Genomic DNA, 27,849 nt, shown 5'->3' on the forward strand with positions numbered 1-27,849 from the left:
TAATGTAAAACGGGTGCCACTTACTGAATACCTACTGTGTGCTCGCCCTGCTAGAGGCCTGACACATATTATTTCTAATCCCCACATCGTCCTGATGGGATCGTTTTAATCATTCTCACTTCTCAAATGAGGGAACCCAGGCCAGACTCACCCAGGGTCATGAGTGGGTAAAGCATTCAGCCATGCTGATTCCTCTTTATGCTAGACTATATCTGCGTTTTCCTCATTGAACCACACTGCCACCACATTTGGTTTGTAACTTTAATATTATGTTATATTACAGTGTCTTGTAGCATATTAAACTCTTTCACATGCATTATTTCATTTGAGCCACGAAACAACACTTTGAAGTGGGAACTGTTATTCCTTTTGGATGTGAGGAAATAGGCTAAGAGAAGTTAGATGACATTCTCAAGCCCAGAGATTGAATGTGGTCGAATCAAGAGAGACTAGAAATGACATTTTTGACTCCTTGTCTCATATTGCATCCTTACTGCTATTACTGACCACAGGAACTGTAACTCACAAAACGTCCCTCAAAATAATTTTGTATCAGGGACAGACATTAGAGAGACCTGATATATATGCATCGATGGAGGTATTTCCTAATTAAGATTATTTGAATACACAATTTTTGCATAGTAATTTAAAACTTTAATTTTTGTACTAAGAATTCCCATGAAATTACCATGATTGGAGTTTTCTAAATCAAGTGATTTTAAAAATAGCTTTTCAGTAAGATATACTGGGTATTTCAGGCACCTCAATGACGATCCACATACCCAGGGGGAAAATATGTCTGTCCTTTAATGCCAGGGGAATTAAAACAAACAAAGAATGAAGCTCTTTCATTCAGTGTTTTTAAATATCATTTGCAAATGTGTTCCCCATCCTTCCTTTATTGCAGCTTCAAAAGCTCAGCACCAAAGAGGCAAATTAGATGGAGAAAAAACTTATTTTAGGGTTTAAGGCATGAACATAAAAACCATGCAACTCAGAAATTTTATGAACTAAAGCTCCTGTGGGAGATGATGTTCCTAATTGCCCTGGAAGCTCCCTGGGTGTTGCACAAAGGGCATTATATACAGCCAGGTCTCTGCTCTTTCTGGTTTTCTTTTTTATCATCTAGGATTCATTTGAAGTTTGCTCTCAGTACATAGCCCTGATGAAATCTGTCATCTTAGATTTTCTTTCAACTGAGAATCTATGTAGAGGAGAGCAGCTAGTAGAGATGTCCTGAGACTAGTGAGGAGGGTCTCTGAGGAGCCAGGCCAGGAACAACTCTCATCCTAGCAGGGCCAGAATTTGGGCATGTGTCACTGTCTCACACAGACACCATGCTCTGCTTGTCCTCACTACTCTGTCTGTGGTTGGTCACAGGGCACTCTTCCAAGCTTTCAGGGAAGGGAAAAGATAACGAGGCAGATGGCAAAGTGCAGATGTGTACACACCACACCTGGTGTTGAGCACCAGCTCAGCCACTGTGTGCTGAATAACTTTGAGTTTTGGGGGGGGGTTTTTGGAGACAGAGACTTGCTCTGTCGCCCAGGCTAGAATGCAGTGGCACGATTTTGGTTCACTGCAACCTCCCCCTCCCAGGTTCAAGACGTTCTCGTGCCTCAGCCTCCTAAGTAGCTGGAATTACAGGCGTGCACCGCCACACCTAACTTGTGTGCCAAATAACTTGTATGCTAACTTGTGTGCCGAATAACTTTGGACAAGTTACTTAACTTCTCTAGGTTTCCATTTCTTTACTAACAAAATCAGAATGATAATAATTCCTACCTTTTCGGGTTGCCCTGAGGATGAAATAAATTAATACATGTAAAGCACTTAAAATAGTGCCAACGAATGGCATGATTCAATGAGTTAGCTTTACTTATTAGCTGCTTGGGAAGCAGTCACAGGCAGTGTCACTCTTCAGAGGAAAGGTGGCTTTATTTCATCTCTAGACTTGCAAAACTATCATTTTTGACTCGCTACATTTCCAAGACTAGTTTGAACCCTGAAGAAAATATCAGTTTTGCCGTCTCACCTTTCTCTGTTCTCAGCCAAGTTACTCTTTAGCAATCACAGTGGTATTTGATTGGTCCAGTACTTTCTGAATCTTTCTGGAGGTTTATAAAAATGAACTTGGAGGAGAGTGGCCTCCCCAAGGTCATTTTTCCTTTGGGATATGCAGTGATTCAGGGCTGGTATATCCTGCCGGGTTATATCAGTTTTCCCTGTTCAGGAGCCCCACCAAACCGAAGCAATCCAGGCCCATCCCTGGGGCTGAGGCTGAGTCACACTGGCTCCGGGATATAGGCTGAAGCCAAGCTGAGTGAGGCACCCACGCTGTCTACAACTTTCCATGCTTCATTCTTCTGTTTCCCTTTATTCTGGTTGCCTCTTCTCATGTGGTCATCACTTCATTTTACAGGGGCCACTATCCCATTAACTTGGAATTTGGGGATTGCCATTTCCTTAACAGAACCTGGATATATGGGTAAATCCACTTAGGTGACTTCTCTTTGACCAATGCCTGGGTGACTTGATGAATATTCAAGGTGTGGTTACAGACTAAAGAGGCCCTTGGTGATCTATGATCAGAAATTTATGTCCAGTGGGATTTTAGGAAAACAAATAGGTCATTTTTTATCTATCCATAAATGTGACTCCAATCCCCAATCAAAAGATGATTGAAGTCTTTTTACTTTGATTACAAAAGATTCCTGTAAGGGGGGAAAAAAACCCAGAATGGAGTCACTGTGGAGACTACGTAACCTGTAAAAGTGCTGTTCATGTATTATAATTCTTTATAGATGGTTTGAGGGTTGTAAGTCATACCGCAATGACAAAACAAAGTGAAATAGCAACTTTTGAGGATGCACTTGGCTGGGTACAGAGGATCCTAGGACAGAGAAGTGTGTTCTGCATTTTATTCTGTTAATGGCTTTAGTAGCTAAGTCAGATGGGAATTCAAGCTTGCTCATTTTTCTGGAATTCTTATTGATGAAAAATGTGTAAGGATTGAAGTAATCTAAGGACTTTGGGGATTTTACTTCTCACTCAAATGAATACAGGTTTAGTTTAGGTAAAGCATTGCATGCTTAACGTTTGGTTTTCCCTTCCTCATTCAGTAACATCTGTGGAGGGTGTCTGCTGTGCTACGCATTGGCCTAAAAATAATGAATCAACTACCTGGAGGAGATCTCCAGATCCTGATGGACATGTGCCCTTATTATATCTGACAGTAATGAATACTTCCGATTAGAAAATTTAACGTACACAAATATTTTTAAGATCCATTTACCTTTCAAAGTATTCCACTTGCAGTGATTTATTTGCTTTGGCATCTCTACTCTGAAGTCAATTTAAGTGCAAACTCTTGCTTCTCATCCCCAGTGAATATGTTTAGTATTCGATATTCTCCTGGCCCTTGTAGGGAATATTCCCATGGAAAGTGAGAATTTCTTTGCCTTATTATGCTTTTTAGCTTCCCCCACTCTCCCTCCATTGCTCCCATACCCCACTCAGTGGAGTAAAAACCCTGAGATAAATACTGCATTAATCACATTGGAAAGTTTAAGGCAAGGGCTTAAAAGAAAGGGAAGAATATTTCCTTTATTTAATGTCATTTGTAAAACTCATCACATGAATCTGTAATGATTAAAAGTCATGTCAAAAATTTCAGTAACAGTTTTCGTATGTTAACTTATCCTAAGAAATTCAAGTTGCAGGTTTATTCAGGTTTTAAAAACCGATTTTAAGTCTTGCCTTAATGGAAGGGAAAATTGGGTGGTTATTTATTTTAAAGCAGAATATACCATGAAACTCACAAGCAGACATATCACATATAGCAAATAAGGAACAAATATAGTTGTTATTCAGAATTTATAAGTAGGGAAAGTAAGATAATAATTTAGCTAAATGGTTTGATCATGGTTATGAAAAGTAACTGGAAGAGAGAAAGGTTTGGCATTAGGGTATAGGATAAACCCTCAAGTCAAGAAGCTAAATGTGGTGTTAACTTTCTATAGAGTTGTATTGACATTTGAAAATTTTAATCTGGAATTATACTTTTAGGAGTATACTGCATAGTAATACATTATTCATCATATTGGGACTTTAATATGCTTCCAAAATATAATGTCGCATCCCTGGTATCCCTGGGAAATAATTTTTATTATGGCAACTGCCACAGGATTGTTAGGAACTGAGGAGAGATAATTACATGGCCCAACTCAATCTCCACTGAATACATAGAACAATAATGACAGGAAAATTATTGTATAGGCATAGGAAGTTCTCATAGTAAGTATAAAAATGGAATGCAATTGAATTATTCTGGCAAAAGAAGTTAATTTGTGTATATATATATATATATATATATATATATATATATTATATATATATATTTGGAAATAAAATGGAATATTCAAGAATTTGGTGAGGCCGGGCATGGTGTCTTACACCTGTAATCCTGGCACTTTGGGAGGCCAAGGCAGGCAAATTGCATGAGCTCAGGATTTTGAGACCAGCCTGGTCAACATGGCAATATCCCATCTCTACCAAAAATACAAAAATTTAGCTGGGTGTGGTGGCACCCACCTGTAGTCCCAGCTACTCGGGAGGCTGAGGTGGGAGGATCACTTCAGCCTGGGAGGCAGAGGTTGCAGTGAGCTGAGATTGCACCACTGCACTCCAGCCTGGGCAACAGAGTGAGACCCCATAACAGAAAAAAAAAAAAAGAATTTGGCGAATTTGGCGAAATGTTTCCTGAAATAATTTCAGTAATAGAATAAAGAATAAGATAGGTTAAGATTGAACAAAATCATTAGATGTTCAGAATCAGCAGGAGAAATGTGTTTTCGCCTCTACTTACAGCCTTCTACTAAGCCTGATGTGCAAAGGCCAAGAGAGTGTTTATATAATGAGGAAATTGTCCCTAAATCTTCTTTTTTAAAAAAAAAAATGAGGAGAAGCAGCAGGTTCTAATATTTTTTTTAATCCTGTATTGTGGATATATTCAACTCAGAAAGTTAGTCTCTGGAAGCTTTTGAGATGTCAGTCATCATTTTGGATTTAATTTTTTGATAGAAATACTGGTACATAGAATTTTGGGATAATCAAATGAAAAATAAAATAATTTATTCTCTTACTTTAAGTAATATTCTCAGGGCCACTATATATCCCCTGACACATAATGGATAATTAATAAATGTTGAACTGAAATCTATTTATTCCATACTTGCCATTATCAGAGCTTCTGTTTGAACATGCATATGCCCATTTTTAAGCTATATTCAGTCATCCCTTAGTATCTGCAGGGGATTGGTACTGGGACTCCTGATACCAAAATTCACAGATACTCAAGTCCCTGCTATAAAATGGTGTAGTATTTGCATATAATTTATGCACATCCTACATATGCTTTAAATCATTTCTAGATTACTTATAATACCTAATACAATATAAATACTATGTAAACAGTTGACACACTATATTATTGAGGGAATAATGACATGAAAAGGTCTGTACATGTTCAGTACAGACACAACCATCCTTTTTTTATCCAAATGTTTTTGATCCGTGGTTGATTATATTCATGGATATGGAACCCATTGATACAGAGGGCTGACTGTAGTTGTATATTCAAACACAGACAAATTTATTTATGACATTTAAGACAACTATGAGGTAATAGTAAGGAATGTGTTATTACTCCATTTTGGCTTCTGGATTCTAGAAGAATTCAGAACATATTAACTTAACATTACTTAGATTTTTTATTTCATGTTATAAAATGGCAGGACTCAGGAAGGTCATTTGACTTATATGCACTCTCCTAACTAGAATAGGACATATTAGGATTGATGTGGCTGAATGCTAGATGTTGATATTACCACTCTTAACCTTTTACGAAGAAAACAATGGCATAGGTTTCTCTAATGTTTGGTCTAACAGTTGAATAGATAGATTGCCAATATGATGCCCTCTTTCAGTGTGGTCTGAGAAAATGGGTGTTTTCTAGATTTGCTCTTGCCTTTAGCTGTATCTGAGACATTTCTATTAAGGATGGTCTTTCACTGGATCCACTTGGTTGTATTGTGGCCTGAAGGGTTAATGATAACATTAAAAGGAAACACATAAGGTTATGTTGAAGAGTTCAGCATATATGTTTCTATGTTACTGTAGGATAGTGTATTAGTCTGTTCTCACGCTGCTATAAAGATACTACGTGAGACTAATTTATAAAGAAAGGAGGTTTAATTGACTGACAATTCCACATGGCTGAGGAGGCCTCAGGAAACTTACAATCATGGCAGAAGGCAAAGGAGAAGCAAATCATATCTTACAGGGCTGCAGGAGAGAGAGCACTGGGGAAACTGCCACTTATAAGCCATCAGATCTCATGAGAACTCACTATCTCATCTTCTCATGAGAAGAGCATAGGGGGAACCACCCCCATGATCAAACCACCTTCCACCAGGTTTCCCCCTCAACACATGGGGATTACAATTCAAGAGAGATTTGGGTGGGGACACAGAATCAAACCATATCAGACAGGAATGTAATCTAGTCATTAAACTTTAATTAGGTATAATTCACTGCAAAATGCAGTTCATTTTTAGGTCTTCCATCCTGGCAAACTAAGGAAGTACTGGTCAAAAAATGTCCATCAAAATCCAGAGCTGGATGGGACCTCATGATGTCATAGTTTAACCTTCCAGTTATTATTTGCTGTAAATGTTCAAGTCTAGGTTTATCACGATGAGTTCATAAGCTTACAGTGAACTTCTTTTAAAAAAATAGATGCTAGGAACAGGCTTTACAGCATAAGCTATATAAAAACCTATTCCATAGGCACACCCTCTTTCAGATGCTTTGGATGCAGTCTCAGATCTCTGTGTATTGAGATAAAACTTGGCAAGAGTAACTGTCAGATGCCTGAGTGAAGCAGCTCACTCCATCACCCTGGTTAATTTTAAAATTCATATGTGTACACCTACACATATGGCATTAACTAAAATACATTTTTCTTTCTGTCTTAGTCGGCTCAGGCTGCTATAACAAAATACCGTAGACTGGGTGACTTAAACAGCAAACATTCATTTTCTCACAGTTCTGGAGACGGGAAGTCCAAGATCAGGGTGTCAACATGGTCAGGGGCTAGGGAGGGTTCTCTTCCTGGCTTGCAGGCGGCTGCCTTCTTGCTGTGTGCTCACATGGTCTTTTCTCAGTTCATGCATGTGAAGAGAAGAAGAGATCTCTTTCTCTTCCTCTTCTCATGAATCCTCCAGTCCTGTTGGATTAGGACCCCATGCTTAGGATCTTATTTAACCTTAATTACCTCCTAAAAGCCCTATCTCCAAATATAGTTACTTTTGAGGTTACAGCTTCAACATATGACTTACGGGGACACAATTCAGTCCATAGCATTTCCGGTGAGGGTTATACATTTGCACAGCAACCTCAGTGACTCTTAAGCTCGTTTTACAGCTTATTATTGAAAGCCCTACGGCTTTCTTGGAACAGCTAGAAGTCTGAGTGTTTCCGAGGGGTATTCTGAGCCCGTAATCTGACACACGGAGGTACGATGGGGTGGCGCGGCTCCGTGCTCATGCCAGTAGTGAGACATATGGAGGAAGCTGTTTTCATTGCATTTACAGATTGCTTCTTTTGTCAAATTTCTGTAAAAATAAAATCAAGTAAATCTAGCTAGTGAATACAATTCTAAGGTTAACTTAGGCATTTCCTTTGCTGCATTAACTCTTTAAGGCTTAGGAACCTCCACGCTGTAAATTCCTGCATTTCTTTATGCTCCAGGGAGTATCCTGATGTCAAGATGTAGCTCAAGGATACTTTGGCTTCTGATGCAAAGGTGGCTGGCTGAGTGGTACCATTGGGGAATGCTTATATGTTCAGCCATTGACCAAGCCTGCTGTCCTGTGGGGGGTGGTGATTGCATACTGTGGGCACCCCCCACCCGCCCTTTGAGCCTTATGAGGTAATAGCCTTTAGTAGGTGCCTTCACTCTTTGGTAGATCTTCATTTTGACACACATTTAAGGGCTTCTCATTGGATTCTGTTCCCTCACTTAAGAAGTCCTGAGCTGGGCTCTGCTTTTCCTTCACTAAGTACTGTATTGCACAAACCCAAGCCACCCAAGAGGGAAAGACCAGGGAAGACTAAAACATGCAGCCTTTCATAACAATTGGTCCAATCTCAGTTCCAAAACGAAAAGGGATGGCCACGATGGGATACTGTAAGCTCTCCAGTTTGATTTTTGAGCATATTTAAAGTTGATGCTCTCTGAGCTAATGTTGCTAGAGCCACGGTCCCTAATTGTGAATTTCATAAATGTGAGTGTTTCATTATGGTGTTTCCTGGGGCTGGCAAAAGTCCAGTAAGTGACGGGACGTTGGAAAGCAGACAGTTTGTTCACAAATGAGCATTCTCAGATTCTGCTGAAGAAGTTCTGTTGGACCTGCTTCTAATCTTTGCAGAAATGAGCAACTCTCCCCTGGCTGGGAGTGCCGTGGTACTGAGAGAGGTGGTGAGAAACCTGGAGGAAGCGCTTTTAAGTGGCATTCTACTCAGTTGTTTTTAAAGCGTTAGATTCAGCATTCACTGTAAGGAGCAATTAAAAACCCCTTTAAGATATGTTATTATCAAGCCCTCTCTCTTGTATGGAAGATAATGACAGGAGACCAGAAAAGGGGGAGGGGGCTGCTAATGTGTTAACTAGACTTTGACGAGCGAGAGAATTTTAGCTTTATTACTAAGTGGGGGAAAAAACACTTCCTTGGCTGGCTTCCTTCTAAAGTATCAGGTGTGGCATGCATATCAGGCCATTAGCCTGATCTCACAGGCTTAGCCCTATCTCACATTTAGCTATGCCAGGAAAGCTATGAAGGAGGCATTTTCTAAGACAAGGGCAACAGCATTTCAGTCCTCATCAATTCTGTTGGAGGTTGGAGGTGCTCTTCTCTCAGGGAGAAACTTGCAGGAGGACTGTGCCTACCTCAGGAAGATAGTGGGGCACCCAAGGCAGTGAAGAGGGCAAACTCGGACTCCCTAAGGCAAATGTATGATCATAAATGAGAAGGGATTTCTTCATGACCGCATACAGAATTCTGTGTACAGAGTTTGAATCTTTTAGTTTATGAGTTACATGTTCAATAAGTTTATGTACTTCTCCCAGGCTCTTTGGTAGTCAGGTTCTGAAACAGAAGGACCAAACCCACACAGGTTGGCTTTGTCTCATAATCTTTCCATGAACAAGTAGTTTGAGAAGCCTCTTAAAGGGCTTCGGTGTGCATTAAGGGCTTGAGACCAACTAGGAATTTTTAAATGCACATAGGGTGACCGTAACTATTGTGTTATAGAACCCTCAAGAAAGAATTCTTCTTCAGTCACCAAATCGTGTGCGTCACAAATTTTTCCACCTCAAGACCTCCCTGAAGCTTTGCTCCCCTTCTCTCTGTCCTCACACACACATCACAAAAAGCTCAGTGTCTGGCTAACCCGTGTTGCCATGGGAGGCGAGGGGGAAATGTAGGAGAGGCTGCAGGCTGCTTGGGGACACTGACCTCCTCATGTTGAAAAGGACAAAACACTTTCAAAGGAGAAGTAATATTATAATATATATTACTTTATGTTCCCTCATACTGTTTTTCATAAAGTACTCTCAATTAGAAAAGCCACTTGATAATATTTTTAAAGGTTGAACAAGATGGTTCTCTCATTTACAATCCCATTCCAATGTTACATAATTCAATTTATATTGATTTACTGTATAATTTCTATGCACTGTGCTATTTAATATGTTTATATTTATTGTACTATTCAACATATATGAACCCAGGAGTTTAATATAGAATTATCTCTGCAGTCATTTCTAGAATGGGACCTAATTTGAGAACTGACTTAATTATGGCTAAGTAATGAAATCCAGCCCATGACTATACCACCGGAGTAGGCTCAATCCACATCAGCAAGATTCCTTTCCCTCTTCTGAGGGCTTGAAAATCCCCAAGTGAAACAAATAAACTATAGGTTGTTTATTTCTTCCCACAAATACTGTTTGTAACAATTCTGCCCCTCCTGTTGATTCATGAGAAAGGCTGGAACACAATCTTTGATTCTCTTACATTCTTTGGAAATTGATTATTTTGCAAGAATAAGTATTTATAGAACTTGGTGATTAGTTTTTGGTAAGTCATCACAAGAGTTAGTTAGGAGTAGAAGCCACACCCTAGCCACTCTCCCTCTGTATTTTCATATACCAGGTATGGTGCCCCCAAGAGCTTAGTCTCTGGGTGAGGAAACACAGGTACAACTAACTGCAATTTAGTTTTAAAAACAAAATGCCAAGGTGGTGCCTTAAACAATGTACCGTGCTAGCGCAGAGAAGAACATGATGAACCCTCAGGGTAAGATCAGAAAAAGAAAGGAGAGGGGGTCTGAAATTTGAGGAATGACTCCAGCTTTGGAGTAAGGGTAGAATTCTGGCTCTACTAATGTAGAATCATTTTCCAAAAAATATTTGGTAATGATTTTTAAATTTTCATTTCTATGTGAATTTGAACAAATGTCAGTAATTCTGTGCAATTCTATGCTTTTTAAAATTATAAACATTTCAATTGCATAATAACATAGAAAATAATGCATAATAACATAGAAAAAAATGCCCACTTATCCATTCCTAGCTTTGCTAAATTTTAGTATTTTGTAATAATTGCTTTTTTATTATTTTTTAAGAAAGGAAACATTACATTGTATTGAAGTCTCCCATGTTTCATTTCTTAATCAAATTCCCCTACCCCTCCCATCTTCCCCAGAGATATGTACTATCCTGAATTTGGTATTTTTTATGCATAAGCCTGTTTTCATACTTTGAAAATTTGTATATATCCATAACCAACATGTCATATTTTAATTTTTATACAGATGGTATCATATCATTTCTGCTCAACATCGTTTTTGAGATTTATTTATAATAGTACACAGATATCATTCATTCATGTTTGCTATACTGAATTTCACTGTTAGGAATATACAACATTGGCCAGGTACAGTGGCTCACACCTGTAATCCCAGCACTTTGGGAGGCCAAGGCGGGAGGATTGCTTGAGCCTAGGAGTTCAAGCCTGGGCAACATGGCAAAACCCCGTCTCTACAAAAAATACTTTTTGTAGAGAAATTAGCTGGGTGTGGTGGCAGATGCCTGTTGTTCCAGCTACTCAGGAGGCTGAGGTGGGAGGATCATTTGAACCTGGGAGGTTGAGACAGTGGTGAGCCATGATCGCACCACCGCACTTCAGCCTGGGCAACAGAGCAAGACCCTGTCTCAAAAGAAAGTGGTGGTGGTGGGGGGGGGGGATATATAACAGTTAATTCATTCTCTTGTTGAAGAAAATTTGTTTTCAAAAATGATTTTTTATTTTGCATTTACGGTGTTACAGTGGATATTCTTGTCTATAACTCCCTGTGCACATAAAGTCTTGTTAAGGCATATTCCTAGAAGTCAAATTGTTGGGTCATAAGATATAGACATCGTCAAATTACTAGCTATTGCCAAGTCACTACCACAAATCCAAATTGGACTAACTTACACCTCACCTCCACCAGTGGTAAATCAGAGTTCTTTACCTATCTTATTTGTGTGCAATGGTATCTTGTTTTAATTTGCATTTTGGTGTTGCTACTGGAATTGAACATATTTTATGTTGATTGGCCATTTTATTTTGTGTTCTATCATTTATTTATTCAAAAAATATTTTCTATGGGTTGTTCGTTTCTTATTTATTTATAGGATTTGTTACTTTTGTTACTTAATCTTTATGGTTTTAGGTACTACAAATATCTTTTTCTGGTTGGTATCATATCTTTTATTTATGGTGTTTTGTTATGAAAAAAGATTTAATCTTCATATATTTATATTTATCAGTTCTTTTTTTTATGGATTTGATGTAGTTTAAAGAAATTTTTCCCTACTCCAAGGCCATAAAAATATTTTTCTATACCATTTTCTAAAAATGTTAAAGGTTTGCTTTTGGGTATTCATATCTTTATTATAAGTGGTTTCTTTTTGCAATGATGTGAAGGGTCCATACATTTTTTCTCACATGGATTGATAATTGTTTTAGCACCGTTTAATAAATAATCGGTCCCTTTCATAGTGATCTGTTACACCCATTTATCATCTGTCAAGTTTCCATATTAGATTTGCTTTGTGATTTTCCTTAGTTCTATTGTTTTATTTGGCTATCACTATGCCAATACCATTGTCTAAATTAAAATGATGCTATAATGCATCTTGTTATAAAGATGATGGATAAGCAGCCCACCCCCAACCCACCCTCCTTCATTTTATTCTTCTTCAAAATTTTCTCAGTGAATCTTAGCCATTTTCTCTTGCATATACACTTTAGAATAGGCTTTTCAAGTTCCAAGAAAAATACTTTTGGTAATTTCCTGGGATTTGTACTTTCTATACATGACCAAAGATGATCTCACCATTTATTTGAGTCTTCTCTAATGTCTTTTATCTGGTCTTTTGATTATTGAGTTCACTTTAGTTGCTTTGTGCTCAGTTCATGTGTTTTTCATATCAATTATTTGATATTTGATTAGACTTATTTTGTGACCAATCTTCATAAACAGTTCTTGAATGCTTGGGAAAAATGTGGATTCTCTCATTTTGGGGTTTAGGGTTCTATACTCAATTTTAAAATTAAGTTTGTTCCCTTTGCCTGGAATTGCTGTCAGATGTATATTTAGAATCTTCTTATTCTCCCTCCATATTTCTTATCCTGTCTAGTATGTTTCATCTCTCTTTATCTCTCTGTGCTGTATCTTGGGTTATTTTCTCAGATTTTCTGGTTCACTTTTCCCTTCTTCATTTAGGTTTAATCTGCCTTTTACTTGTCCTTTGAGTTTTTACTGCCAGCAATTTTAATTTTTCATTCTAGAACTCACTGATGTTGTTACTGATGTTATTTTCACATATCCCTGGTGCTTTAAAAACTGTCCTGTTCTTTATGTTTTCAGTTCCTTCCTTCATGTGTTTGTTTTGAATGTACTTTTTATAGGCTCTGCTCATTACTTCCATTATTTGGAATTCTTATAGCTCTGATTCTTAGAGCGTGTGTGTGTGTGTGTGTGTGTGTGTGTGTGTGTGTGTGTGTGTACATGCATGTAAGAGCTAGCCTTCACTAATAATTAATTCTTCAAGTGTTTGCTAATTTTGGTTTGTGAGTTCATCTTCCAAGAGGCTTTATGTATGATAACTTGATATAGCCTATTTGAGAGTACAACCCTTCCAGATGGGTTTGTCTTGCCATATGTCCCAGTGATGTTACAGGCCTAGAACCACTTTGTTTCCTTAACTTACTTATTATGAAAAATTTCAAGCATACACAAGAGTAGATACAATTGTATAATGAACCTCTATATTCTCATCACCGAGCCTTGATAACTATCAACTCATGCTCAATCTTGTCTTATCTGTATGCTCCTATATTTCCTCCACACCCACACACTACACACACTACACAGTGGATTATTTTGCACTAAATCCCAGACTTTATATCATTTTATTTATAAATATTTTGCTATGTAAGTCGAAAGATGAAGACTAAAAAATAATCAATATACTAATAATACACCTAACAAGTTAATTTCTTAATAGAATCAAACCACTGTTTAAATATCCATGATTAACTCATTAATAGTTCCTCCTAGATTTGTCAAAATCAGGATCTCAATAAGATCTATACACTGCAGTTGACTCATATATTTCTAACATTTCCTTTACTCAAAAATTTACCCTTTGTCTCTCCTTTCTATTCTCTCTCTCTGTGTCTCTCTCTCTCTGTCTCTGTCTCTCTCCCCCTTACAATTTATTTATTGAAATAGCCAGGTTTTGGTTTATTTTTTCAGGATCACTTTCATGTTACTTTCTCATCTTAATAGGTTCCAGGACTAGGAAAGTAGTAGAAAAACCTCAAACTGCCCCCCTGCATCTGTTGAGACAGAACAATTTTCTTGATGACTTCCAGTGCTAGTGGGCTAATTGTTTTTTCATTTTATAAGGGATGCTACGTTTTATCCAGCATTTTACAGTGTTTTATAGGGAGAGAGTTTTCCTATAATTTAGTCCTTAATATTATGCAGAAATGAAACCTTTTGATGCTTTTTAGAAATTTATTTTGGATCAACTTGCAAGTTTCTTATCCTTTCTGAGCTGCAAGTTTCTATAAAATAGAGTAATATTTTTTACTTTATTGCATTGTTTGGGGGAAAATGAGCTAATGTATAAAAAGTAAGGAATACGAAAAAGGTACACTTTGTGGGTAGTGGGAATAGCTGAGCAGGATTTGACGAATAAGTGTGAGTGAATTCAAGATGGTTGAAAGAGTAGTACCATTACACTGGGTAGATAAGGAAAGAAAAGCACATTTTAGGTCAAAGGAACAAGTCATGTCCTATGACTGTTCAGCCCAGTTTTCATCCATAATCAACTTTATTGCTTCACAATTCTGTTGGTTATGCTTATTTTGTCTTTTGAGGATATAACTGCAAGAATTCCCAGCAGTTCCTATCAAATATGAATCTTAACCCACATACACAAATTTGTGTTATAATATGAAAATGAGACCCAAACCAAAGTGATTCTATTTGAAGATCTCCATGGTAAGTCATACACTGGGATAGCTGTCAGATTTCTCTTCTTGGTTTTCTGTAAATTGATGAAACACTCAGCCTTGGGTTCACTGGTTTAAAATGATGAGCTATTTGCAATTGTTTCAAGCAAGGTTTTTGGAACTTTTGAATTGTAGTCACTTTGTGCTGGCACACGTCTTACAGATCTTCCTAGCTTTCCAGCCTCACTTTGGCAGGAACATCAAAGAAAGCACACTATATCCATAAGATTTGGGGGATTCACACTCCTCTCATCCAGCTGCTGGTCACAAGTTCCAACTCATTTTTATCAGTTCCATTGGGTGGTTTTCTAATATCCTATAAAGCAACATAGGAGATACAAGTGAACATCTGCAAAGCACAGTGTGTGCTGAGAAACAGGGCAGTCACTTAACAAGCACATTTTTCTTCCCACTCTTTCTGTGCTTGGACAACAGATCTGGCTAAACTACACAGCAATGCAAATTACAATGTAACTTTGGTGGGAAAAATTATATAAAATTCTAGTTATCAAGTAGTTTCAAACAATGACAAAACCTACCACTTTGAATTAGAAAGCATGTATCTAGCCATACAAAGCGCTTTGGCTTGGCACATAAGTATTCCATACTTCTTTACCAACCAATCAGAACTTTTATCACAAAGTACTGGTGAATCCATTCTCATTTCTGGCAAATGCATGAGCAAAATTTTCTTAAGAAAATTGCCCATAAATTCTTAGATATTTTGTTTTTACAATGTGTTTTCCAAAGAGATCTAAATTTAACAAAGTTGTAGGTGAGGAAGCCCTGCTTTTGCATTATAATTTAATTAATTAGCATTTATTTTTGTTTACTTTGAATGTCTTTGCATGCTCATATGAAAATACATACATTTACAATAATTCAGATGTAGACCTGTCAGATATCAACTCCTCAGGTAGAATGACAGTTAAAATAATAAAGGGGTGGATGTTAAACATGAGCTAGACTTAGGTGTGATTGAGCAAGTGTCTTTTCTCTTTAGATCCTGAAAGGAAATACTTTTCTGTGATAGAATTTCTTGTCTAGAATTGACTTTTCCCTGAGAAATTTTGACCTGGATTTTTACCATCTTCTTTTAAAAATAATCTCGCATGTCATCTTTGCAAAGTCAGTATTACAAATTGTTTCCCCCAACTCCCTGGAAAGATGTGGAAATGACCAGATGAGGCTCTGTGTCGAAACCCAAACCCCTCGTGGGCAGGCAGAACTTAGTTCTTCCATAAATAGGATTTCTACACTAGAGCTTTTCATCGGCAACTTTTACTCTAATGAAAAAAAAAAAGTAAAATCAGTGAAGCTCTGGGGTTGGCAATACCTAAGACAAATGAAAAGGCATTGAAAATCTTCCAGATATATCATAGGCCAAATAAAGTAGTCATTCGCAAAGCTTCCTAGACATAAAAAGTTGTTGCTAGCTACGATTTTGTTCACAGTGAAAAAGAAGCTTCTATTTTGAGCTTGGTTAGATAAAATGAAGAAAAAACTTTTTTTTCAAGGTTATAATTAGTGCTCTGAGTTTTAACGCTGGTCCACTAATGTTAGTGTTTAGAGACAGATTGTTACAATGCTTCCCTCCTCTTGGTGGTCAGTTCTGCCGTAAACTCTTCGCTTTATATTTGCGCCCCTATTACTTCTGGAATTCGCCATGGATATCTGCACACTAAGTTTGGCTGAAACAATTGTGTTTTTTAAAAAAGTAATATTAACTTGAGGATCTCATATGGCCAGAAAAATAGTTTTAATTGAAAAGCATTTTTTTTTCCAGAAATTAAATGATTGTCATTGTAAAACCACAGTAGTGTAATCAGAGAAACATGCAGCTGGGCATGGGACATAGTTCCTAAGATTGGCATTTCCTGGGTAGTAGATTATATATAGGTTTGTAACAGAAATAAAAAGAGTCAGGAAAAGAAGTTTTATAACTCTTAGGTATTTGCAAACTATGTTAACATTGTTGGAAAGATTTTTGAAAAGTGGGTCCTTGCTATGAAAGCAAAATATCATCCTAGAGATGATGAAACCGAGGCTCCAAGGGTTAACTTCATCAGTCAGCTAGAAAGTGGTGGAGGTGGGTTTTGAACCATTTCACTAGACCCAGAGCTAACATGCATGCACCACCTTGTTCTCTGTCTTTAGGTATGTGGCCCATTTTGCTGTAATACTTCACAGTTCCCTTTTGTTGTCCTTTCTCGGGGGCATTCATAGGTTGTCTATGAATCCTGTGAATTCTTAGATACTTATAGTGGATGCATGTTGTTGAAATAACAGAGCCAGCAAGGCTCTCAAACATCTACTTTTTTTTAAAGGGTTGCTGGGCATTACCAATTCATTTTTTAAGGGAGAACATATCACTTTAAGGATTTATTATTTGTATTTTACTAATCACTGTATGTCATGTTTGTTGGGAAAAGAAGCTATGATGATAATTGCTACATTCTCCATAGCTCTTCTCAACAGCTGACAGGTTATCTATCTACTTATTTGTTTATGGTCTGCCTCTCCACTTTAGCCCCATCAAGGTAGGGATTTTTCTCTCTTCTTTTCACTGTAGTATCTCCAAGCCTCAAAGAGTACCTGGCACATGGTAGTTACACAAGGAATATTTGTTAAATGAGCAGAATGAGACGATTTCTAAGTTGTGACTGAGTGCTTATATTTACATCTGTTATTCATTTTCAGCTTGAATTTGAGCACAGTTTGAGTTCCTGTGAGATGGGGGAAAACACCTACTACAATTCCAGGCACGTTATTTATGATATTTAAAAGCCAATTATTAACTGTCATTTTCTCCATTTTGTATGTGATAAGACTGAGTCTCAATGACTAAGTCACGGTCCCCCAGCCTGCATGGTCATTTGGACCTCAAAGACTTTCTTTTTCACACTGCCTTAGGATTGGTGCTTCAGCAATTCAGGAGAGGAGCAGATGGTAGAATGTTCTTCAGATCTCTGCAGTTCTTGCTTATAGTGCTGTCAGGATTCCTTCAGGCAGGTGGCTGTACCATGCAGTGGCTAAGAGCCAGGCTCTGCACTCTGACAGCACAGCCATCAATTCTGTGATATACAGTATATTTGCTATGTGACCATGACATTATTGTCTCCATTTTATAGGTAGGGAAACTGAGGCTAAAAACAATTAAACAGCTTTGTCCAAGATCATTTAGCTAGCAAAGTAATTTGAGTCAAGATGCAAACTTTAATGCCCATGTTCTTACCACTGTGTAACCCTGTCTCCTTAATTATGTGTATAGTTCTATACTTGATTTTACAGAATCAAATAAGCAGTTATCATTTATTGAATGAACTGTTACTTGATGTTTCATGCTTTGCGCCATTTTCACCTTTCTCACTTTATCCAATTAGGGAAAGAGTACATTTTGTGTTCCTTTATCTTGCTTTTACCTAAAAATATAATGAAAAAGAATTAATAATAATAATAACAAATATAGGAAGGGGATATCATTCATAATTCTACCATATTTAAGCCCTATGTGATTAACACCAAAAATTTTGCCTTTAAAAAAAAACACATTGGGGGAAGCTGATTCAATGCTTCTTACATTATAAAATGGATGAGGGATTTTGATAAGTGATCAGCAAGGTGGGGGTTGTATAAGCTGCTGTCAGCTGCTCATATTCACATCTGGCATGGACTGGTCAAATGACATTACCCTTGGCAATACATTTTCCTGTGCCTCAGTTCCTCTGGGGATTAAACTGTGATTTTCTAAAGGGCAAAGACCATATCTTCTTCTTTATACTCCCGGTCCCTACCACAGTAAAGGTTGAGCTAAATTCTGTTGGAGAGTGATACCTAGATTAGGGTGGCCATTGATAGCAAGATCTCAAAGATTATGCTGTAACCATTCTTCCTCTATTCCCACAAATCAGGAAATAAGTACTATGATTTCTCCTTGGCACTCTCCTCTGTATCTTTATACAGATTCTGTAGGCTGATTGTAGGGATTCCAAGCAATTAGTAATGAGTAATGTGCCAAACTTAGATACAAACCAATCTCACTTGTTAATGAGATACTTCTGTCAAAAGAGGGACCCAGAAAAGGCAGAAATGGGGTGGAGGTGCAGAAGCATGCTGGAGCATTGCTGATGGACTTGTGACAGCTGATTGCATGCATCTCTTCACAACTTTGCTCAGTGACTTTGTGTTGGTTATCTTGAAATCAGCCATGGTAGAAGTAGTCACACCATGGAAATTAGCAAATGCTACAAATAGCCTTTCTCTAACTGGTTGTTAGACATTTACCATCACACCACTGGAGAGGTGGTGCAATTTTAGAGGTGATTGTTTTGCTTTGGGTTAGAGTGGCTGATGCCCCTTAACAATAGCAGAATGCCACATCACACTGAATGATTTAGAGATGTTCCTCAAACCACCAGTCAGATACATTGAGGAAACAGGCTCTGCAATGAGGTCATATTTAAATAGCAATGAAGACATGGGGATTTCTCCCCCAATTTGAAGGACTCCTATGATAGCAGAGACTAAATTTCTTTATGGGGAAACAAATGGAGCCAACACCTTTATAACACAATAGTAATACAAACAATTCAGGGGCAATGAATGTATATCTAGCCTTTTACATTTCTAAAACATCAGTTTTCTCTCCCTTGAAAAATGCATTCTTGAGATGATTAAATGCAAGAATACATGTCAAGTGTTCAGCACGGGGCTTAACACTCTGTAAATATTCATAAATGGTATATTAGTAGTAGTAGTATATTATTGTTTATAATAAATGACTCTCTATAAGAAATTCTACTAGTCAGTGTGTCACTCTGGACCCCTAACCATTTCGATAAACCCTACACCAGACATCAGCATTTAGAACACTGGGCTTACAGCTTAGCCTAGTGGTTCTCAAAAGGTTCATCCCAGCACCGGCAGCATCAGCATTTCCTGGGAATTTGTTAGAAATGCGAATTGTCAGTGATGATGAGCATTTTTTCATGTGTTTTTTGGCTGCATAAATGTCTTCTTTTGAGAAGTGTCTGTTCATGTCCTTCGCCCACTTTTTGATGGGGTTGTTTGTTTTTTTCTTATAAATTTGTTTGAGTTCATTGTAGATTCTGGATATTAGCCCTTTGTCAGATGAGTAGCTTGCAAAAATTTTCTCCCATTCTGTAGGTTGCCTGTTCACTCTGATGGTAGTTTCTTTTGCTGTGCAGAAGCTCTTTAGTTTAATTAGATCCCATTTGTCAATTTTGGCTTTTGTTGCCATTGCTTTTGGTGTTTTAGACATGAAGTCCTTGCCCATGCCTATGTCCTGAATGGTAATGCCTAGGTTTTCTTCTAGGGTTTTTATGGTTTTAGGTCTAACATTTAAGTCTTTAATCCATCTTGAATTGATTTTTGTATAAGGTGTAAGGAAGGGATCCAGCTTCAGCTTTCTACATATGGCTAGCCAGTTTTCCCAGCACCATTTATTAAATAGGGAATCCTTTCCCCATTGCTTGTTTTTCTCAGGTTTGTCAAAGATCAGATAGTTGTAGATATGCGGCGTTATTTCTGAGGGCTCTGTTCTGTTCCATTGATCTATATCTCTGTTTTGGTACCAGTACCATGCTGTTTTGGTTACTGTAGCCTTGTAGTATAGTTTGAAGTCAGGTAGTGTGATGCCTCCAGCTTTGTTCTTTTGGCTTAGGATTGACTTGGTGATGCGAGCTCTTTTTTGGTTCCATATGAACTTTAAAGTAGTTTTTTCCAATTCTGTGAAGAAAGGCATTGGTAGCTTGATGGGGATGGCATTGAATCTGTAAATTACCTTGGGCAGTATGGCCATTTTCACGATATTGATTCTTCCTACCCATGAGCATGGAATGTTCTTCCATTTGTTTGTATCCTCTTTTATTTCCTTGAGCAGTGGTTTGTAGTTCTCCTTGAAGAGGTCCTTCACGTCCCTTATAAGTTGGATTCCTAGGTATTTTATTCTCTTTGAAGCAATTGTGAATGGGAGTTCACTCATGATTTGGCTCTCTGTTTGTCTGTTGTTGGTGTATAAGAATGCTTGTGATTTTTGTACATTGATTTTGTATCCTGAGACTTTGCTGAAGTTGCTTATCAGCTTAAGGAGATTTTGGGCTGAGACAATGGGGTTTTCTAGATATACAATCATGTCGTCTGCAAACAGGGACAATTTGACTTCCTCTTTTCCTAATTGAATACCCTTTATTTCCTTCTCCTGCCTAATTGCCCTGGCCAGAACTTCCAACACTATGTTGAATAGGAGTGGTGAGAGAGGGCATCCCTGTCTTGTGCCAGTTTTCAAAGGGAATGCTTCCAGTTTTTGCCCATTCAGTATGATATTGGCTGTGGGTTTGTCATAGATAGCTCTTATTATTTTGAAATGCGTCCCATCAATACCTAATTTATTGAGAGTTTTTAGCATGAAAGGTTGTTGAATTTTGCCAAAGGCTTTTTCTGCATCTATTGAGATAATCATGTGGAGAAATAGGAACTTTTACACTGTTGGTGGGACTGTAAACTAGTTCAACCATTGTGGAAGTCAGTATGGCGATTCCTCAGGGATCTAGAACTGGAAATACCATTTGACCCAGCCATCCCATTACTGGGTATATACTCAAAGGACTATAAATCATGCTGCTATAAAGACACATGCACACGTATGTTTATTGTGGCATTATTCACAATAGCAAAGACTTGGAACCAACCCAAATGTCCAACAATGATAGACTGGATTAAGAAAATGTGGCACATATACACCATGGAATACTATGCAGCCATTAAAAATGATGAGTTCATGTCCTTTGTAGGGACATGGATGAAATTGGAAATCATCATTCTCAGTAAACTATCGCAAGAACAAAAAACCAAACACCGCATATTCTCACTCATAGGTGGGAATTGAACAATGAGATCACATGGACACAGGAAGGGGAATATCACACTCTGGGGACTGTTGTGGGGTGGGGGGAGGGGGGAGGGGGGAGGGGGGAGGGGGGAGGGATAGCATCGGGAGATATACCTAATGCTAGATGACGAGTTAGTGGGTGCAGCGCACCAGCATGGCACCTGTATACATATGTAACTAACCTGCACAATGTGCACATGTACCCTAAAACTTAAAGTATAATTAAAAAAAAAAAAGAAATGCAAATTGTCAGTCCTCACCCCAGACCTATTGGATCAAAAATTCTGAGGATAAGACCAATATTTACCCACCTTTTCAAGTGATCCTGAACCACTCTTAGGCTTTGTCTTACCATAAGGCAGTGGCAATGAGAATCCAGTAAAAATGTTTAAGTCATGCTAAAATATTCTCTCCAGTCTTTCTGGAATCTTGATTGGATAAGCAGCCTTTAATTGATCCGTGTGAAATGTTCTGTTGCATGTCATTTAATTTTCTGGTCTATTATGTGTTAACAGTCCTCCTAAGACTATCCTCAATTAACAGACTGTAACATATTTATCATTTGTTGAAAATCACTTCTAATACTTTATCTTAATGTATATTAAATAGATGACAATCCATAGAAATTCTCTTAAGAAATATCTGGAGAAACATTTACAGTTCTGCTACTTCTCTTGGTGATCAATTGATTTTGTAAACATGAGAAGAGAGTTCATCTTGTTACTATATTGATTGGATTAAAGCACTTTAAATACAAAGGTGAAAGTTGATTAACTTACAGAAATAGAGTCCCATTGCAGGTACACGATGAAACGGGGGTAAGGAAGGAGAAGAAAAACATTGAAAGGCATTTGACAGGGTAAGGTTGTATTCCCCAGACAACCCTGTCAAGCAGCTCTGTTGACAACAAAAAGAAGAAAACAAATAAATTGGAGGTTGTGTGAATGTCACAAGACCAGAATATAAATACATATGACATGGAGAGAGTAAATACCAATAATTCTCATTCTCACAAAATGTTTTAGGATGATACCTTCCAGCTATGACAAGACCAAAAGGGAAAAAAAATAATAAGCAGGTAAATCTCCGAGACACTGGTCCAGTATCTACCTTTTATTCATAATACAAACCCTCAAAAGACACCACTGCAGTTATAATAGGCCAAATAACAAAGACAAAGACAATGTGTGACAAGACTCAGGACTCGCACATCCACAAAAAATGGATTTAACATTCAGAGACCATTTCAGCCCTGTCTAACTTTCTAGCTCACAAGAGAGAATGCAGACTTCACTCTGCATGGACAAAAAGATATCTTCAGGCAGAATGTGGAATTTAGGACTTCAGTTTTCTCTTCACGCTAAACCAATTGTAGAAACACACATCCAAAAATAAAGTGATGATTACCGTCTTTCTTTTTTCCATTAAAAATCACTTTAAGCTTTTCTTATCGACTTAATTATTTACATGCACATTGACTAAATCTTAACAAGCTCTTAAATGCTAGTTGCCCTGTTGCCTCTCAGCACTAGCCTTCCCAGTGCCACACACGTGCCATTTGCCTTTGTGCTCTGTGACACCACCATCTGGGTGTCTGGTCCAACAAGCGCCTTCTTGAAAACCTTACATAACTCCCCTTTTCCTGTGCCATGGGCTTCACCTCACCATATCTAATGGGAGCTCTGGCCTGGACTCTAGGAATGTCATTCCAGATAGGCCTGACGGGTCTCACTGCCCATTAACATGAGCTCCCCCTTCCCTGCTGGGAAGCCAGAATGCCGTGTCTTCCTGGCACGTCCACGTCCTGCCAACTCAGGAGACAAAACCATTAGTCTACCATGAGAAATCTGGTTTTCTCTCCATGGCCAGAAAACCTTCAGTTTTCAGTACCAGTAAAGCCTACCCTTCTAAAACATGCTTACACTGAACATCAATAAACTCTTTGATAAAGAAGTCTTGTTACAACATGCAAAGCTGTAGGCAAAAAAAAAAAAAAAAAAAATGACAGTCCCCTCTCACCTTAGAACATATCAAGCCCTATCAGAAGGCCAAGAAATTAAAATATGTTGAATACATTTAAGCTTTATAGCAAATACCCTGTACAAGAACCTAAATTGAAGCTTTCAAAAATCTAAAAGGACAAATCTAAAAGGATAATCCATTTCATGATTTTTAGATATGACATGACATAGAACTATAATTATAAGAAATATACCCGAGATGCTTTCTGTTCAAAAAATTCAAAGATTCTTCATAACTGGGTAACTAACTAACATAACTGGGCCCTTTTCTGTTTTCAGACTCTCTCTGGATGGGCCACTGTTTCCTATGGTGTCAATTGCTTCACATATGGTGATGACTAACAAATCCTTGTCTCCAACCCAGGCCTCGTTCCTGAGCTCTAAGCCCATATAGTTGTGATTTGTGTCCACGTGGGATCATCATTCCCCACTCCCATTCTGCCCCTCCTTTTCTATCTTATCTCATTAAATGTCCACACCACCCACCTGGCAGCACCTTCCTGATCTCTCCCTCTCTTCAGCTCTTACATCTTTACCTTAATCAGTCTTCAAAGCCTATGGATTCAGCTTTTTTACTGTCACTCAAACACACCCACTCCCTATCCCTACCTCTACCTGAGCTCAGACACTTATCATTTCTCAGGTGAAGAATGGCCTCTAGGTGATCTTCTCTTCCCAAGAATTGCTCCCATCCAATCCATTCTTCATAGCCAGAAGGACCATTCTAAAAGGCAAAGTCAGCCATGCCCTTCTGCTGCTGAAAATGTCCTAGTTGAAATCAAAGTCCTTTGTGATCTACTTCCTGCCTATTGCTGCAAACACATCTTTTGCCTTTTATTTTTTTTCTCTGCACTGGACCTAGAGGAATCCTCAAATGTTTACTCTGCCTTTCTTCATGCCTTTGCACGTACTATTACTCTCTCTGCACAGAATACCTTTCCTCACACTCTCCTTTTAGCCACTTTCTGCATATCCTCAAAACTCATCTTTCTCCAGGAAGTTTTCATCAGGGTAGTCATTCCTTCTGGGTATTCCTATAGCAGATGTAGTCCTAGTACTTTTACAATATTCCAACTCATTATCCTCTCTTTTCCCACTGGACTGGGAGATCCTTAGATGCTGGATAGTCCTTGGTGTAAGGGCCTGTTTTGCCATCTCTCATTTCCCAGGATCATACAATAACACAGGGCCTGCTTATTGTATGTCCTCCATAAAATTCTGTGAATTGAATAAGTCAAATGCTCTAGAATGAGGTCATGTGTTCCTATGCAACTTCTTTCTGGAAGCCAGGGTAAATGAAGGCTACAAAGAAGTAGCTACTGCTGAAATTAGAAATTTTGTTCAAGTAGACGCACTGAATCAGATTTTTAAGGTGCTAGTTAGGCCTTATTACTGGAATGTGTCTCTTATGGAGACAAAGAGGAAAGTCTTGGTAATTGCCAACTTCAGCTGGTAGTCTCTAGCGAAGAAGGCAGTTACGTGGGAGAGCCTGACCCTGTGCACCTACAGACAGAAACTCACAGGCATGTGCCTAGGGATATAAGCAGGATTACAAACCTCAATCTGGTGTGTCACCAATAAACAAAAAGTAGGTCTTTCTTTGATTGTTTCAAGTTTTATAAATTCTTAATGTGAGAATAAATAGTAAACCCCTACAGTTCTTATCAAACTTATCCTTCAATTTAGTATTTTTTACAAATGAGCTTTACAAAAAAGCTTCATCCTGACTTGAAAATGCCATGTTAGGGGCTACATGAATAACTTCAGTATCTTTACTTTTGTATGTGCCAGTCTTCTGCTGAAAAGCTGCCTCCCTGGGTCCTATCTGTTTTCTTTTCTCTCCAGATCTCTCCAGTCCATGCCATGCTCACATGTTTTAATGCTGTGTCTCTCCACTGCAAATATTCCATCCTGCTATTAAACCAGGCAGCCATTTCCATTCAATGATGGAAAACCCTGGAAACAGTCTATAGTAAGAGAAGGCTTGGCTTTTGACTTCATGGTCCAGTAGAAATCTGAACAACCTACAACTTGGCAGTGGATGAGGGCATAGGCAGCTTATTGATTATGTAACCGAAGGGAGAAGAGGATAGAAGTTTTACCTGAAAATGCCATGTTGCCTTTGCAAACAGTTTCTCCACCCTAACAGGGTTTGAAGCTGGCCCTGGGGTAGGAAATATGGTTTGAATCTGGCCTATGGTTTGAAGCTGGCCCTGGGGTAGGAACTATGAATATGTGCAAACCAGTTGTTTAATGACTTGCTAGGTGACTCTCAGCTGCTCTTTCAACTTCTGTCTCTAGGATAATTGTGCTTATCAGGAAATGCAATTCTGTTGCTTATGTTTTCTATTTTGAAAGTGTGGAACTTTATCAATGTTTTAAGCTTTCCAAAATTGAATGTGAATAGATATACTTTGATTAGAAACTCTAAATCCTAGTTCTAAAAAGTCTAGTTCATGAAAAATAAAATGCGGTTTAAATAACAGGTTGAGTATATTTTGCCTCAAAGCTGCTGTTTCTCTGGCCAGCCTTCTTTCAGCAGGCATGTCCACCGTCTTTTTGTCACTGATACACCAAAGCTTGGAGGTCACTTCTGGTTTCTCCCTCTCCAGGTCCTCCCATCAGTTATGCAATAGCCAAGATGTATAGATTCAGCTTTTACTATGCCTGTCCTCCCCATCTCTTTCTCTGAATTTGCATGCTACTATCTGAGCTCTGGTTCACCTGATATATTGATCTTGCTCAGATTAGCAAAATAATACCCTGATGTTCTCACTGCCAACCCACCCAACATCACTGCTAATTTTCCTGAAATGTGTCTCTCAAATCATGTCATTCCCTGCTCAGAAATTTTCAAGGGAGTACCGCTACTTACTAAATCCATCCCGTATCCCCAGATATTCATCCTACCCTTTTTGCTCTATATGTTTTTTGTTTTTTTGAGATGGAGTTTCGCTCTTGTTACCCAGACTGGAGTGCAATGGCACAATCTCAGCTCACTGCAACCTCTGCCTCCCAGATTCAAGCGATTCTCCTGCCTCAGCCTCCCGAGTACCTGGGATTACAGGTGTGCACCACCACGCCTGGCTAATTTTTGTATTTTCAGTAAAGACGGGTTTCACCATGTTGGCCAGGCTGGTCTCAAACTCCTGACCTCAGGTGATCCACCCGCCTCGGCCTCCCGAAGTGTTGGGATGACAGGCATGAGGCACCGCACCCGCTTATATGTCATTGTTTTAAACTATGGGTGTGCATTTGCTGTTCTTTCAGCACATTCTTTGTGCAGCCCTTCCTCTGTGCTATTGCTTATGGTGCTGCTTTATCCCAAGCTACCTGATTTGAATCCGGGTTCCAAAGAAAAGGCTTTGTGCCTTTTCTTTCTTACTTACAATATGAGAATCATAATATCACCTACCTTATAGGATTTTGTAGCAATTATAGGAGGGAATACAATATAAAACAATTACAGGAGGAATACAATATAAAGCCCTTAGAAGAGCTCTAGCATGTAGTAAATATTCAGCTAATGTTAGTAATCATGTTTCATTTCTTTCAAGGACCATTTCAAATCCGTGTCGTAATGGAAGCCTTTTATATCGCCCAACTCAATGTAATTTCTTCCTCTTTTTGTACTTCTTTGAATAATATTTAACATGAAATGTCCTGCCTTAGAATTTGGTGTGCATTCATTTTGGCTTTCACCGGATTGTAAACTGATGAACACTGAGTAAACTTTATTCATCGTCATATACTCTGAAGGATCTTGTATAGCACCTGGCATATCAAAAGAACTTAGTAAATGCTGGCTAAGTGGAAATCAATTGATTTTTACTAATTTTAAAGTGGTTTTCCACCAGTTGAAAGAAAAACACAGTACATAAAGATAAGTAAAAGAAACGGACAGCTTTATAACATGGATGTGACTGCAGGAAGATACTGAGACTGATGTCATTTGAACGCACAACGTACCCTGATAACATCCTTTCTTCTGTGTTCTCCCTTGCAGGTCTGCTTAGTGGCCTATCTTGGCTTGTTTATGCTTTGTGTCTCATATCAGGTTGACGAACGGACATGTATTCAATTTTCTATGAAAGTAAGTTGTGATTGTTCTTTCTCTTTTATCATCACATAGAAAGAAATCCAAGTACAAAATAAAGGAGTGCCTTCTTAAGGGGTTGCATATCTGATTAGTCTAGAAATTGCATTTTTAGGCAGGCCAAAA

At 38.3% G+C, this 27,849-nt stretch overlaps 1 protein-coding gene and 1 long non-coding RNA gene across 7 annotated transcripts in view, besides 1 other annotated feature; one reads left to right on the forward strand and one right to left on the reverse strand.

Annotated features, from left to right (window-relative positions):
• SSPN (sarcospan) overlaps positions 1 to 27,849 on the forward strand; it is a 112,787-nt gene that overhangs the window by 74,669 nt on the left and 10,269 nt on the right. For 4 of the 5 annotated variants that reach the window (XM_011520853.4, XM_011520855.2, NM_001135823.1 and 1 more), the window contains 1 exon segment: positions 27,634 to 27,720. In XM_011520853.4, the coding sequence (XP_011519155.1) occupies positions 27,664 to 27,720 (57 nt within the window). In that variant the 5' untranslated portion in view covers positions 27,634 to 27,663. 5 annotated transcript variants of the gene reach the window in all.
• The window catches only part of SSPN-AS1 (SSPN antisense RNA 1), a 60,672-nt gene continuing 47,319 nt past the window's right edge, over positions 14,497 to 27,849 (reverse strand). Inside the window, exons 2-4 of one of the 2 annotated variants that reach the window (NR_187469.1) lie at positions 22,386 to 22,503; positions 18,058 to 18,118; positions 14,497 to 15,012 (exon numbers count right to left, since the gene is read on the reverse strand). This is a non-coding gene — a long non-coding RNA (SSPN antisense RNA 1). The remainder of the gene's footprint in view (positions 15,013 to 18,057; positions 18,119 to 22,385; positions 22,504 to 27,849) is intronic. The other variant, NR_187468.1, reaches the window with a different exon arrangement.
• Positions 18,334 to 18,503: an enhancer, noted in NCBI's record as "experimental_26866 CRE fragment used in MPRA reporter constructs". NCBI's record gives its function as "activates a minimal promoter by MPRAs in K562 erythroleukemia cells, with activity observed for the non-introgressed 12:26368011 variant allele {active_cell/tissue: K562}" and the evidence as "EXISTENCE:reporter gene assay evidence [ECO:0000049][PMID:34662402]".

This window comes from Homo sapiens, chromosome 12, assembly GCF_000001405.40.
Source record: "Homo sapiens chromosome 12, GRCh38.p14 Primary Assembly".
Taxonomy (NCBI): Eukaryota; Metazoa; Chordata; class Mammalia; order Primates; family Hominidae; genus Homo; species Homo sapiens.